The sequence below is a fragment of the Homo sapiens genome, chromosome 20 (assembly GCF_000001405.40).
Source record: "Homo sapiens chromosome 20, GRCh38.p14 Primary Assembly".
Lineage (NCBI taxonomy): Eukaryota > Metazoa > Chordata > Mammalia > Primates > Hominidae > Homo > Homo sapiens.
The window spans coordinates 45494850-45511466 of record NC_000020.11 but is presented as its reverse complement, the minus strand read 5'-3'; the positions used below and the strand labels follow the sequence as shown (position 1 = coordinate 45511466).

The 16617-nt window shown below is 43.2% G+C and overlaps 1 long non-coding RNA gene across 1 annotated transcript in view; it reads right to left on the bottom strand.

Moving 5' to 3' along the window:
• Window positions 1-16617, bottom strand: part of LOC107987282 (uncharacterized) — a 52776-nt gene that overhangs the window by 28921 nt on the left and 7238 nt on the right. The gene's annotated exons all lie outside the window — the stretch shown is intronic.

The following is a 16617-nucleotide window of genomic DNA, read 5'->3' as shown; positions in this document are numbered from 1 at the left end:
CCCTTACTTACCACTCTGATTCAGAGTCCTCCCCCAAAGTCCAAGTCAGCTGCTTCCCATTGCCCGAGGAACAATAACTCCAAACCATTATGCCAGGCTCCATGCTAAGCTCTTCATAAATAATACACATTAACCTCAGGGTAACCCTAAAAATCAGATTACTACTCAAGGCATGCTCCAGGAACAGGCAGCTTCCAGGTCACCTGAGAACTTGTTAGAAATGCAGAATCTCATGACCAGCCTTGTAACAAGATTCCTAGGTGATTTGTGGGCACACTCAAGTTTAGGAAGCAGTGGTAGATGAGGAACCAAGGATAAAACAGAGCAGTAATGTTTCCAGGGCCACACAGCTGGAAAGTGGCAGAGCTGGTCATTGAGCTCATGTCAGTATATTTGCAAAGTCCCTGGTTATAATGGCTATGCTTCACTCTGTCATGGATCTCAGGATTTCCCCCATGGGGCTGATTTCCAGTTAAAGGTTGTATCAGAAAAATTTTAAAACACCAAGTTATGCTGGCAAGGCAACAAACACATCTCCCTTTTGTGGAGAACACCGGGAAGCAGGATTCCTGGATCATCTCTGGGAAGAACCTGAGACAAAATCCTAAATGTCTCCCATGGCCGCTGTCTTCTTTTTCCAGGTTGGAGAGCAGCAGTCACACCAACCTACTGAGGACTTCCACAAAAGAGAGATTGCCTCATTCCTAGCCCCTGGCTCCATACCACCCACCCTCACTCTCTCTTCCCTTCTCAACATTTCACAAGAGGGAGCATTCTCCATGGCTAACACCAATCAGATATTCTGTCTTACCAAAATGTCCTAGAAATTCCTGAATTGCTCAACACCTAAATCATGGCTAACACCAATCAGATATTCTGTCTTACCAAAATGTCCTAGAAATTCCTGAATTGCTCAACACCTAAATCACTGGCTTTAAGCTCTGTCTCCTACTCATGAAACACCAGAACTATCTGGCCTTGAGATTCAGAAAATGTGATCATTGTCTCTATAATTCAATTGTATCTGCATTAACCACCCAATCTTGTCATAGAATCCGAAATTCAGGCTCTTGTACCGAACGTACAGCTGATGCCAACACTGACACACAAGTGCTTGGAAATAGAGAAAGGTTTATTTAATTTGGTCAAGGCAAGATCTCTCCGATTTACCTTAAGAAAAAGAAGCAGAGAGTTATGTGGCTGCAGAGTAAGAGAGGGGGAGTTTCAGGAAACCAAGGGAAAAGTCTGTGTTTCTTCACTCTCAGATAACACCTGAAACAACCAGACTTCTAGGAGTCAGCAGCTTGTCACAACATCCTTAAAGACATTTATTTCTTCTTGGATACTTTTTTTGTGACCCTGAAGTTAACTCCCACTGCTTGACAGAGAAACAGTACATCAGCAGTTTATCATTATGTTGTGGGAACAAGGAATATTGGGCAAAAAGCAAGTTCAAGCAAACAAGGGCCTGATCAGAATTTTCATTATTTCAGTCACTAAAAATGCTTGGATGCTGAGATCTCAAGGGGCCCTGTTACAAATCCCCACTGCCTTTTTCCATTCCTCATTCATGTAGGAAAAGGGGTGTCATTCTTTTCTAGCTACTTCCTGCTGAAAAAGGGGCAAAGGTGTGGAAACTGAAGAGCAGAATCTATCCATTTGAAGTTGAAAGTATTTCCAGGGGCCGGGCCCATATCCTGCATACTGCAATTCCATTATCTGGGTACTGTTACCTATTGTAGTCTTGGAGCAGCATCTTAATCTATATTTGATGATGACATTAATGAAAACATAACTTACAATAACGATAAGAGAAATAAGCCAAATGTAACGATACCAGAAAATACAGATTGGATCCCTTGTGAGATCCAAGAAAACAATCCAGAATACCAATCACCTAATCCTAGTTAATCTTCTTTTTATCTGTTGCCACCATGAAGTTTGCTCTCTTATTTTATCTACCTGCATTTCAACTTCAACTTCAGCCAAGGTGTTAATATAAGACAAACAGGAGGAGTTGGCCTTGTTCAGCCAGCAGGTAATCTAATGCTATCCCATTATCTAAACAACTTTAGCTAGAGAATCCAAAGACTTGCTGTGCTGTGATAGCAGCACCTTTCTTTAGCTCTAATCCTTAAGTAATGGACATGTTTCTAAGCACGTGGTGATAAACAGCCACTCCCCACCATGGGAGCAACGTATATCTGAAGAAGTACCCTGTGTCATCAGGAATCCTGGCAAATCCACTTCAGAGACCACCCTGTCCCTGACAGACAGAATCTCCTTCCAAAATTCCTTGGGAGAGCCTGGGCAACAGTTTTAGGGAACTTGTCCGGTGTTTGGTAACACTTTCATTATGTACCGAGAAAGATGTCACTGAGTATCCTAATAAACGTTGTCCATGATCTCCCCTCCTAATGCACCTACAGGCCCAGGGTTGGTTTTCCTGACTGCAGATCGAAACATATCCCTCATGAGCAGGCCAGGTATGGTGGCTCACATCTGTAATCCCAGCACTTTGGGAGGCCAAGATGAGTGGGTCAGTTGAAGTCAGGAGTTCAAGACCAGCCTGGCCAACACAGCAAAACCATGTCTCTACTAAAAATACAAAAATTAGCTGGCTATGGTGGTGAATGCCTGTAATCCCAGCTACTCAGGAGGCTGAGTCATGAGAATCGCTTGAACCCAGGAGGTGGAGGTTGCAGTGAACTGAGACAGTGCCACTGCACTCCAGCCTGGATAAGAGAGGGAAACTCTGTCAAGAAAGGAAGAAAGGAAGAAGGGAAGGAGGGAAGGGAAGGGAAGGGAAGGGAAGGGAAGGGAAGGGAAGGGAAGGGAAAGGAAGGGAAGGGAAAGAGAAAAGAAACATATTCTTCAGGAGCACAGGGCACAGTGTCAGTAGTTGAGGCGGTCATTAAAGCCACATTCCCTAGCCCTGGATCTGTTAGACAGTTGCCACACTCAGGTAAGGCTGGGCCTATCCGTTGTCCTTCCTGTGCTATGAAACTGGGGTCAAATGGGGTGCTATCCAGATCACTATCCAGTGAGAATTGTCACAAAGGTCGTGGTGACTCACCCAGGAAATGCAAATCCAAAAGTACACCAAAGTCAGGTACATGTCTTCACTCCAAGCGAGCATTGCACCAAAAGTGGTCACCACTGGCAGGAAAGGAACCAGTGAGGGGTGTCCCCCAGGCAAGGTGCCTAGGCAGCTTTGGGGACTCCCTGTGCACGCAGATCCTGGTTGGGACTGCCCAGCCATGGGCACAAGGTTCTTCCATGGTCGCCAGAATTGTCATAGAACCCCAGATTCAGGCTTGTGTACCCAATGGGCAGCTGATGCCAACATTGATGCATGGGTGTTTGGAGATGGAGAAATGTTTATTCAATGTAACCAAAGCAAGAAGGCAGAAGGGTAAGAGCTCTCAATTCCACCTTAACAACAATAACAAAGTGGGCTTTTAATGTGGCTGGGGAGTAGGGGAGGGGAAGTTTCAGGGAACAAAGGGGAAAAGCCTGTGTTTCTTCCCTCTCAGGTAACACCTGGAACAACTAGACCTCTGGGAGTCAGCAGCTAGTCACAACGTCCTTAAAGTCTTTCATTTCTTCTTGCAAACCTTTTCGTGACCCTGAAGTTATCTCTCCGTTTAACAAGGAAACAGCACATCAGCAACTGTTTGTTTGCAACAAATAATTTTGTTGTGGAAACAAGGAATATTGGGCAAAAAGCAAGTGCAAAACATTTTCATTATTTTAGTCACTAAAAATGCTGGGGTGCTGAAATCTCAAGGGGCCTGGTTACAGTCTCATGACTAAAATTGCATCATTCTATCAATACTCAACAGCTTCAGACAAGACAAACCTTCAGCACAGGTGGAGATAGACAAGTTAGTCCACACGCTCACACAACACTTATCCGCTGTTCACCCACCCTTTAGTGGTCCATCTATCATCCATTTTTTAAAACGGAAATGGCCTCCCAACTGGTCTCAGGGCTTTAGTCCTTGCTCTCTACAGTTTATTCTTAAAAGAACAGCCAGAAAGATTCTTTATGTCCTGATACTCTGCTATTAGCAATCCTTCATTGACTTTTCATCTAACTCAGAGCAAAAGCCAAAATTCATATGAGTACAGTAGTTCCCCCATATTTTCAGTTTCACTGTCTGTGGTTTCAGTTACCCTTGGCCCAAAAATATGAAATGGAAAATTCCAGAAATAAACAATTCATAAGTTTTAAATTGCACATTGTTATTGGGGTGAAATCTTGTGCCATCCTGCTCACGATGTGAATCATCCCTTTGTCCAGTGTATCCACCCTGCACATGCTACCAGCCCATTAGTCATTTAGAAACCAACTCAGTTATCAGATCGGCTGTCACAGTATTGTAGTGTTTGTGTTCAAGTAACCTTTATTTTACTTAATGCCCAAAAAATGCAAGATAAGTGATGCTGGAGTATTGTTATAATTGTTCTGTTTTGTTATTATTGTTGTTAATCTCTTACTATGCCTAATTTATAAATTAAACTTTATTATAACTATATATGTATAGGACAACAACATAGTGTATAGGGTTCAATACTATTCGTGGTTTCAGGCATCCATTGAGGATCTCAGAACACATGCCCCACGGATAAGGGCGGACTACTGAACTTGCCTCAGGTTCCTACCCAAAGGTTTCTGGCAGTTGCTATGGACAGCACCCATATTTCCTTTCAGGAATGAAGTGCCTATTACCCCAGCTGGGAGTTTGGTAGCTGATGGTTCTTAGCTGAGTTCCTCTCCTCTATGGAAACGAAAAGAGTCCAGGTACTACCTCTCTCTTCTGATTGGCTGCTTGAGTGCGAGTGTGTGACATGAACTTAGCCAGTCAGTTGCTCCTGCCCTGGACTTTGGATCTGGAGGGAATGATGCAAAGACCCAACAACTGTTGAGAAAATTTTTCTAATTGTGATGGAGATGGTGAAAGTCTGGAGGTCAAAGAGCATTGAGTACCTGGCAGTGAAGTGCAATTTGTAGCTAGAATGAAACTCTACTACAAACTCAGATATGCTCAAAATGTCTTTTAAAAAATTGTAACTGGCAGCTGGGCACTGTGGTTTATGCCTGTAATCCCAGTACTTTGGGAGGCCGAGGTGGGCGGATCACCTGAGGTCGGGAGTTCGAGACCAGCCTGACCAACATGGAGAAACCCCGTCTCTACTAAAAATACAAAATTAGCCGGGCGTGGTGGCACATGCCTGTAATCCCAGCTACCTGGGAGGCTGAAGCAGGAGAATCGCTTGAACCTGGGAGGCGGAGGTTGAGGTGAGTCGAGATTGCACCATTGCACTCCAGCCTGGGCAACAAGAGCGAAACTCTGTCTCAAAAAAATAAAAAAAAAAATTGTAATTGGCCTGAATTTTCATTTTGATCTTCCATTTAACCAGGTAATGGAAATTAATTTCTGTCATTTCATTAGTTTGACGGCCACATACCCCTAAGGGTTGCCTCTACATTCCAGTGCATTGGCTTAATTCCAAGGCATCCAATGGGAAGTGTGCTTGATTCTTGGTCACTATCATATATACACACTGTTTTATTCCTGCCAGATATTTTTCTGGCAGGTAACTGTTGCATCCTCCTCATTTGATGAGAGCTCACTCAGTGACTTATATGCCCCATAGAACTCAAGAAATACCTCACTGCTGCTCCTTAGAGCTCAAGAAATACCTCACTGCTCTGTACCACCTAGGACTATAGGAAACTCAAAGGGACCCTCTAAAAACCCTATACATAGACCTCCCATGTTCCAATTTCTGATCTACCCTGCAAGGGTTCTCAGTTCTAACTAGTGGTTCCTCAATTCATACTTCCTAGTTGTGGAAGTATACCCTGGCTGTGGTCATTTCTCTTGATTCCCAAATATACCTGGTACCCTATTGGCCTAAGAACCCCCTTCTCAGGATCCCAAACCACCATTCATTTCCTCTGGTTCCCTTCTAACTCTCTTCTTTAAACCTCCAATGGGGAGAATTTTATACATGGCGGGGAGCAGAAAGGAAGCAAGGGGTTGTTAAAACCTGATTCTGGTTTTTCATATATTCTTTCATCTCGTGATCTGCATTCACTCTGATGTAATTAAAACACTTTCTTCCCAAAATTAAGGTTCTAGCTCCGATGGTCTAATGATCTCTAAGATCCCTGATACCCTTAATTGCTCAGTTATCTCCAAATAAGCCCTTTGTCTTAGATCTGAACCTTCTCTTTTGAACTCTACAAGCCAAGAATTTAAATATTCTGCGAGCTGTATAATGCTGTCCTGTCTCCTCCCCAGGCATGAGGTAGAATGTCCAGGTGCCAGAAGTGAGAGAAAGACCAAAGAGAAGTAGATCTACAGGTATAAAGCTCCAATTAGCATCTCAAAGTAATATCCTCTCCATAGGCTTTTAATTACTTTATATATGCATATAAAGTATATATACTTTATATATAGTATATAATGCTATATATTTTTGTATAAATTTATATATGCTATTATAAATGTTTATATATATGAAAATAGTAAAAATAGTACTCATATACAATAAGTATATACTCTCTCTATATAGTGTGTGTGTATATATATATATAGAGAGAGAGAGAGAAGGAGGGAGAGAGAGTGTGTACTATTTTCACTATTTTCTACCAGCGTTTTTTTTTTTCTACCAAGACTTTTACTTAGCATTATATTATAAACTTTTTCCCAGGTGGGTGAATATTCTCTGGTGTCATTGTTAATGGCTACATAATATTCTGACCTACCAAGCATTGTAATTTACTTAGTTTACTTGGTTTCCAATGGTTCATTATTATAAAATAGCACAAGGTTAAACACAAGCACAGACACCCTTTGAAAATAACATCCTGTGATTCTGTGAAGAAACAAATTCCCAAAGAGAAGGCAGTTCTGTTGCAGTGGGGGCAGACTGGATACACCATTCTGTACCACCAGGGCAGGAATTCAGGGGAACTCTCACAGGAGGTGAGGGAAGAGGCAGGACACAAGGACTACAGAACTAGTCCTGTGGATCAGGGTCTTCTACAGGGATGAAGTCTAATTGTTGGCTGGCTGGGGCTCAACTAGGGAAGCATGCACTTCCAAGCCCACTTATATGGTTGCTGGCAGGATTCAGTTGCTTGCAGGTCACTTCCAGTTCGTTGGTCAGTGGGTCCTTCCAGAGGGCAGCTCATAACCTATAGATTGCTTTATCAGAGTGAGCAAGCAAGAAGCTCCAGAGAGACTGAATAGAAGGTAGAAGTCACAGTCTTTTGTTTTTAGACGGAGTCTCACTCACTCTGTCACCCAGGCTAGAGTGTAGTGGTGCAATCTCGGTTCACTGCAACCTCCACCTTCCAGGTTCAAGCGATTCTCCTGCCTCAGCCTCCCGAGTAGCTGGGATTACAGGCATGTGCCACCATGCCTGGCTACTTTTGGTATTTTTAGTAGAGATGGGGTTTCACCATGTTAACCAGGCTGGTCTCGAACTCCTGACCTCAGGTGATCCACCTGCCTCGGCGTCCCAAAGTGCTGGGATTACAGGTGTAAGCCACCAAGCCCAGTCAGTCTTTTTTTTATTAATACATAATTGTTATACATATTTATGGGGGGCATTTGATATTTTGATACATGCACACAATGTATAATAATCAAATCAGAATAACTGGCATATCCATCACCCAAGGCAGTTATCATTTCTTTGTGTTGGGAACATTCCAAAGTTTTTCTTCTAGCTATTTTGAAATATACAATAAGTTATTGTAGTCATAGTCTTTTGTAACCTAATCTCAGAAGTGACGTCCCAACATTTTCCATGACATCACTACTCATTAGAATCAAGTCACTAGGTTCAGTCCACACTCGAGGAGGAGAACACACAAAGGCATAAAAACCAGGAAGTGGAGGTCATTGGAGTCATCTGAGAAGTCTGACTGCCACCAGGAGCAACTTGCCCAGAGTCAAATGCAGTGAGAGCTTAAAGTCTCAGTTCTTGGCTGGGAGTGGTGGCTCACACCTGTAATCTCAGCACTTTGGGAGGCAAATGTGGGCAGATCACTTGAGGCCAAGAGTTCAAGATCAGCCTGGCCAACATGGTGAAACCTAGTAAAAATACAAAAAAGTTAGCCAGGCATGGTGGTGCACACCTGTAATGCCAGCTACTTGGGTGGCTGAGGCATAAGAGTCACTTGAACCCAGAAGCGGAGGTTGCAGTAAGCCAAATTCATGCCACTGCACTCCAGCTTGAGAGACAAAGTGAGACTCTGTCTCAAAAAAAAAAAAAGTCTCAGTTCTAGAATTGGGAAGATTTGTTTAGAGAAACAGGGTGGGCAGCTTTACCATCATCTGGTTATGACGGATTGTAAGCTTGGACAGAGGTAGTGGCATTGAGAATTCAAAGCAAAAAATAAGAACTGATAAAAACACCCTGCTTTGCTACCAAAAAAGTTTTGCAGCTTCACGTCTCTTCTCTTTAAATCAATAAAAAGGCCACACTGTGGGGAGAAAATGTCGATTCTTTGGTCTCTTCCCTCTCCTCTCCTTCTTCCCTGAGATTTATTCACAGGTGAAAGCTTAAGGCTCATAGTGCCTGGTCCCTATCAGTACAAATACCCAGTAGTTCTAAATCACCATGTCTGGATTCTGAGAGCTCTTGTGTTATAAAAGTTGCTGGCATGCAAAGACAAACAGATAAACTTAACTCTCACAAAGTGTACCAGAGGCTAGTGTGTGCCAGATATGCTACATGAGCACTGGGAAGAACCCTCCTGACATAATATTGAGGTCCCATTAAATTTTTTAATTCACACTTGCTAGAGAAAAATCTTCCAAATGCCCCTTGGGGCAGTGGCAAGCTCCTCAAGTCCTTTAAAAATGTTTCTGGGAAGAATGAAAGAATATATGGGATAGAGAACAGTTTAAGAATATATATTAATGCAGATTCATAGATTTACCCAGTTGACAATATTAGGTAAAGATTTTCTTGTATCATTAAATATTCTGTAACATAATTGCTAATATGTGTAGAGCTTTACTTGCATAAAGAGATCACCATTTATTTAAACAAGCTTCAATGGTTACATGTTAATGTTAAATGTTAAAGGTTGTTGAGGTTTTCTCGATATAGTAAGTAATCACTATGGGTATTTCTGGTTGTTTACTCATGATAGATTCTAAGTGGAATTTCTGGGTCAACTGTGGACATGCATTTGAAAAGCTTTTGACACATAATACCTTCCTTTAAGATTTTAATAACTACTGTTTATGAAACACTTAGGATATGTCAGGAACCAACCTAAGTGCTTTGCATGCATTATCTCATTTAATATTCGCAATAGCCCTGAGAAGAAGATTCTATTAATATCTGTATCTTACAAATGAAAAAGTTGAAGGTCAGAAAGATAAATTACTTGCCCAGAATAACAAATTAGGAAGGAATGAAGATGGTGTTGGAATCAAAGTCTAATTCTAGAGCCAATGCTTTTTAATCAGTTTGCTATCATTAAAGTTCAGCTCTGCCATGACCTATTTACCTCCCCATCCCATAAAATCCCCTGGACCTCTCCATGTAGACTACACAGAGATATTCCAGGCCTGCCTGCTTCTACTCTTCATGTTTACAGCTGTGGGTTCTTGAAAGCAGTGACTTTGCCTTACACATTTCTTCTCTACAGTGAGCCAAGCAAAACGGTATGCACAGAATAAGTACTCAACAAGTACTTGTAGATTAGTTTTGTAGACATGATACCATGGAGGAAAAGAGGGACCTGGGATTTCTTTTTTAGAGTTAAAGTGTTAAGCTATGAGTCAGAGCCATGATTCTCATAGTCTCTGAATTATAGAAGGAAGGAAGGAGAGAAAGAAGGATGGTGGGAAAGTGAAGCTTAATGCCCTCTCGGGAGTAAGACACTCCATTAACTAATGGAGTAAACCCTGGCTTAAGACATTTAACCCAAACCTCAGAGAGATCAGAGTCCCAAACCTCCCCTACCCGCATCGTGCCCACAGGCTCAGAAGAGTAGATGGAACACATCAAAATGTCACATCGTAGGCAAGGATAGGAAGCCAAAAAGGGCTCAGTAAAGGTAGACAAGGGGTCAAGGATAGAATTAGAAAATCATCATTTAACAGCTGGGCATGATGGTTCACACATGTAATCCCAGCACTTTGGGATGCCGAGGTGGGAGGAACTCTTGAGGCTGGGAGTTCAAGACAAGCCTGAGCAATATAACGAGACCGTCTCTACAAAAAACATAAATAAAAGAAAAAAATAAAAGGAAAACATCATCTAGCAACCATTAAATAATCATTGATTTAGGCAAGAATCATCAATGTATGCTAAAACTAGTGGGTAAAATTTTGAGAAGTAATAATATTTTTGCATAGATCCAAAGTATCTTCCCACAAATACTTATTTATTGCAAATGGGAAAATAGGCAGCCACCATCTTACTCAAGTAGTCAAAGTTAACACCATTAGTAACAAAACAAATCAACAGCATGTGCCTCGTGGTATGATCCACCACAAAGAACACAGTATCTTTTCTATAGTATTCCTGCCAGAAACGCATAACATGAATTTAATTGTGAAGAAATAGCAGATAAACTCAATTGAGAGACAGTCTGTAAAATACATGGCCTTTAATCGTCCAAAATGTTAATGTCATGAAAGACAAAAAAAGATTGAGAAACTTTTCCAGATGAAAGAAGATTAAAGGAAGATCTGCTCCTGAACTAAGTAATTTTAAAAAGGAAAAAGAAAGAAGATTAAAGAGGTGTGACAGCTAAATGCAACACAGGATCCAAGATTTTCTTTTGTTGTAAAGGACATTATTGAGACAATTTGTAGAATCCGAATAAGGTCTAGAGATGGGCTTTGTAGGCATGCACCCAAATCACACAGGGCCCTGGACACAGAAGGACCCTGCACCCAGGATGTAATTCCCTGTGGTCATTGTCTTAAAATTCTCAGTTATTTAAATTTGTGTTTGTAAGTGAAGGTTAATTAGACGATGGTGCATGCTCCAGGAGCTAGGCGTCCGGACTCAAGAGCAGTGCCACCTCTTGCTGCCTCCCTGGGATGGGTTCTCAGCAACTCGCCCTCCACCCACTGACACCATGGCTCTGCTCAGCCCGCCCCTTTCCACCTTTGCCCCCTGACTGCTGCTATGCAGATGACAGTTGAATCACATTGGCAAGGGGAGGCTCATGTTCTACCGTTGCCAACCACTCCCAGTGGGGGCTTGGGAAAGGGTGCAGGAAGGGTCAGAGTTAGGTGTGCACATCCTGTGGCATTTCAGGGAGTGCCAATTACTGTCCCAGTCCCAGGCTGGCAGCAGCACAATACATTCAACTGGTGACTTGGCAGGAGCCAGCCTCTCACCTATCCTGATCCTGTACTGAGCATGTCTCAGCACAGAGGTTGCAATCGCTTGGGGACTGCCCATCCATGGGTTGGTGCAATGGACCTATGGACAAGGAAGATTGATTTCCCACCCCTAGCTGGGTCACAGAGCTTCAGTCTGGCAGCTGGCATGAGGAGGAATTCAGCAGCAAGCGGAACCCTCCAGGACACACCACCAAGTAGCGGTCAGGGACCCTAGGTAGTTCTGAGGGTCTGCACTGCTCCACAACTATCCCCGTGCCTGAGGGAGAGTGACAGAAACAATAAATAAAAAGCTCCATGAGAGGTCTAGAGACAGAGAGACTCTGCAAGAAAGAAAAAAGCCTTTTATTTGAGTACCTTTAGTGATGTTTTCCCCTGTTTCTTTGAACAAGGAGCTCCACATTTTTACTTTGCACTGGGTACCCCTACAATTATGTAGCCAGTTTTGCCTCTAGATTAGATAATAGTACTGTATTAATGCTCATTTCCTGAATGTGACTATTGTACTGAGGCTATTTTAAAGAATACCTTTATTTTAGAAAATTCACTGAAGTATTTAAGATGTCTGCAACTTATTCCCATATGCTATGAACAAACATAATATGTGGGGTATATGTGTGTGTATGTGTGTGTGTGTCAGAGAAAGACAGACACAGAGAGGATTAAGAAAAATGTTGTAAAATGTTAGCATTTCGGGAATGTGGGTGAAGGGTATACAGGAAATCTTGGTACTATTTTTGCAACTTTTCTTTCTTTTTGTTTTTATGAGACAGGGTCTCGCTCTGTTTGTCAGGCTGGAGTGCAGTGGCGTGATCACAGTTCACTGCAGCCTGAAACTTCTGGGCTTAAGAGATCCTCTTGCCTCATCCTCCTGAAGAGCTGGGATCACAAGTGTGCACCACCATGCTGGGCAAATTTTTTAATTTTTTTGTAGTGACGGGGTCTCTCCACATTGCCCAAGCTGGTCTCAAACTCCTGAGCTCAAGTGATCCTCTTGCCCCAGCCTTCTGAAGTGCTGGGATTATAGGCATGAGCCACTGTGCTCAGCCATGTAACTTTAAGTCTGAAATTATGTCAAAATTAAACACTGAAAGAAAAGAATAAAACATAAAGAAAACAGTGAAGGGGAAGTCACCACAGTGGTATACAGTGGTATCCTATGAAATCATAGAGAAAAGTATAAGAAATGACAGTGACTCTGCTAATCTGCCACAGCTGAATGGGAATCCCCCAGGATGGATGGAGAACTGTCCTTCTGATAAGCATGTACTCACCTAAGTCATATATTAAGAAGTCAAGAGATTTCTATTATTTCAAACCAGAGTCTCTGGCCCTACAACGTAGATAATGAATGAGCCAATCTAGGGTTTTCTGTGCTCCAACCACTCAACCAACCCAGGCACCTATCATGAGGCTGCAGAGCTCACCGGGTTTTTTGTTTTGTTTTGTTTTTTTGAGACAAGGTCTTGCTCTGTCGCTGAGGCTGGAGTGCAGTAGCACTATCATGGCTCACTGCAGCCTTGACCTCCTGGGCTCAAGTGGTCCTCCCACCTCAGCCTCCCGAGTAGCTGGGACTACAAGCATGCACCACCATGCCTGGCTGTTTTTTGTATTTTTTGTAGAAACCAGCTCAGGCTGGTCTTAAACTCCTTGGATCAAGCAATCCTCCCGCCTCCATCTCCCAAAGTGCTGGGATTATAGGCATGAACTACCACGCCCGACCAACATTGGGGTCTTGTTTGAAGTAGATCCTGTGGTGCCACCTAGCTTCACAGAGCTCTGCTTGCTGAGGAAACCACAAACCTTCCCATTTGTATTTACTTTGAGATTGATGGAAGAGGGCAGTTGCCTTCATTGTCTATCCCCCAGGTGGTGCAAAAGCCCTAACCCTAACCCATAATAAACCACAGGCTATGGATTGTTCATCCAGGGAGAAATCCTCTGAGGGGTGTTCAAGATGTGAAGGCCATAAACTCTAGGGCAGAGCAGCCCCAGGGGTCCCATCTCTTGCAAATTCACCAAGTTTTTATGTAATGAGCTCATCCCAACATGTCTGGTGTGGCTGGGCCCTGGACATTTGGGGGTTAAAGTCTCAGCTGGGGAGGGGGATATACAGAAACTTCTGTGTCTAAGACCTGTATGCTCTGCAGGCAGGATTTACTAATGCTATGCTGTTCTGTGGAAAAAGTCAGCGTGCTGCCGGGCGACGTGGCTCACGCCTGTAATCCCAGCACTTTGAGAGGCCAAGGCAGGTGGATCACTTGAGGTCAGGAGTTCGAGACCAGCCTGGCCAACAGGGTGAAACCCCATCTCTACTAAAATACAAAAATTTGCCAGGCTTGGTGGCAGTGCCTGTAATCCCAGCTACTCGGGAGGCTGAGGCAGAAGAATCGCCTGAACCCAAAGGCAGAGGTTGCAGTGAGCCGAGACCGCACCATTGCACTCCAGCCTGGGTAACAGAGCCAGACTCTGTCTCAAAAAAAAAAAAAAAAAAAAAAAAAAAATTCGGCGGGAGTGGGGTGGTGCATGCTATAGCTCCTCCAAGCACCACCTCTACTAGCTAAGCTAAGCAGACCCCTATCTCCTGGCCAACAGGCTGCAGCAATGACTAGAGGGCTCATTTTGTTTGTTTGTTTGTGTTTGTTTGTTTTGTCTGCCATCACTCCATTTGTACTTTTTCCCCACCCTCTCTCTTTGCCATGACCTTAAGGTGAATTATGAACTGGGTAAACATAGTGATGAGGTGGGAAAGGAGGAGGATTTTTTTGCCATTCGCTTATTTTTCAAGTTGGCGTTTCCAAAGGCTGCATCAATGGACAGGACAAGTGGAACCATGCAGCAGTCACAGCACCAGCAGGAGCAAAAGTGAAGAAGGGAAAGCTCGAGCCATTACAGCTGGTATGGGGCTGTGGGACTTGGTACTGCAGAAGCACTGGGACTGGTAGAGTGGGGCGGATGGATGATGGTAGCATTAGGGTGAAGGGTGAGGGCCAGGCTGGGGGCAAGAATTTCCAAGACTGGCAGTAGGCAGGAAAGGGTAGCATTACTAGATCCTAGCTCTACCACAATTTCTGTCTTAATAGCATGGATTGCATTTAATAGCGTAACTGAGGAGCTTGGCTTCAAACCACATTTTAAAACTTTGTTTTCTTGCCTCCTTTCTCCCCAGTCTCAAGATATAACTTTGAGACAAACTGCATATGTGTTTCCTTTCATCTCGAAACACAGCTTTGGAATATGCTGTAAACCTCCACTCCCTTTCTTTTCCCATTCTGCGCTCCCACACCTTTCGCACATGTATTTACCTAGATGCTTGTTAAACACACATCATACTCACTTATCTGGTCAATATGTTGCCTTAGAAGCTTCAGGGACCAGATCCTGATACGGACCAGACACTTTCAGCCACAATGGTGCTGGCCCCTTCACCAGATGGAACAATAATTCAAGACAACCCATTGGAGTGGCTCACCCCACCTGACACCTCCTAGCCCCCTGCCTCTTCTGCATTCTGAACCCTGTCTTTAAAAGACCCCGTGTTTCCTCTACAAATCATAAAGTGGAAATCTTTGGAAAGAATTACATCCACTTCTCCTCTATCTAGCATGGATAATAAAATCTTGCTCTCTTTTTATCACACTTCATTCTCATTATACTGGCTTCTTTTTACAAGTGGCAAGCAGCCAAACCCTTTTGCCAGTTACAGTAGCGGGCAGCCTCTCCCCTTCCCTGCCCAAGAAGAGTGTATTTTGGACTCCAAGATCCCTGCACTGGTCTGTGATTGAATCCAATAATTAGCTCCTCTGACTCTTCTGGACACCATGTTCTGCTGGGGTGGTCCCTGAAAGGACTTAAGCTCATTTGCAAATAATGGGTGTTAGGACACCTCAAAATCCGGAAGAGATCTTGTCTTACTCTTGACCTCTCCTCACTTAAACCAAGCCCTAGGTTGGACACTACATAAATGGAATTGGACCGGGTTTGAGGCTTAGAGAAATGAACGTTTAAATCATATAGCAGTTGCATTTACTGCAATATGATCAGATGATGCATTTTCAGAAAAGCATTACAGAGGACATAAGATTGGGGGGATTTTCAATGAGTGTTGCTTCTGTAACCTTCCAGTTTCCTCACAAGGAATATTTTGGGTTGGTGCAAGCCTACTAGATAGAGGAAATCCCACATGGGGTTTACCAAGTTTCTTACATTTGCAACATATCACCCTGATATGTTGTAAAAATGTGAAGCAATCTTCACCATCTTGATCTAATATCCAGGTTATAAACACAGTTTCTTACTACACAATTAGTACCATCTTCCTGCAGAAGCTATGTGAAACTGAGACAGCACACTTGCACAGTCCCATTGTGACAATGTAATAATGGCCAGTACCCAGTATGACAACATATAGAATTAGCTATTTACTGGGCTTCAAAGCCAAAGAGGAACTGAGCCCAGGAGATGGGCCAAGACCTCCCTCAATGTCCCGCAGGCACTTCACAAAAGCTACAAGAGAAGCTCTTGTAATCACTTAGAGAGGATGACACCCCCATAGATGTCAGTCAGCCTGTCTCCCTGGCCACCCTAGTGCTTGCTCAGGGGGCTCATGAACAAAGCACCATGTGACAGTGGTAGGGACTAAGCCTGGGGCCAATGACATGGACTTCCCACTTAGCAAGGCTGATTGGCCTATTGACACTTATGGTATACAGCAGTGTACTCCAGCAGTGAGCCTGCTAGCGTGATGGCCAATCTAAGCCCTGATATGGTGCCGTTAACCAGAGAAAATGAACCAGCTATCTGGTGACAGGTACATGAGACCCCTTCAAAAGCATGGAGGCAGGGGTGATTGGCCCTCACTGGAATAGATATTCTGAATTTGAATTTTATTTCCTTGCCTTCCATGCCTGTGCCAGTACTGGTACCCATGGATTTGTGGAATTTCTTAATCACAGTGACTGTATCCCATATAATATTGCTTCTAGAAAAGAACTCCTCATTCATTCATTCAATTAACATATATTTATTGAGTGCCTACTATATGCCAAACACAAAACGGACAAAACAATAATCTTTTCCTTTCCCCTTCTTGATCACAAACACTCTGAGTGGGGCAAAGATAATAAATATTATATTCAGGGTGGGGCCCAGAAAATAAACAATAAGCATAATATATAATTTAATTATATAGACTAATAGTAGTACAAGGTGCTATGGG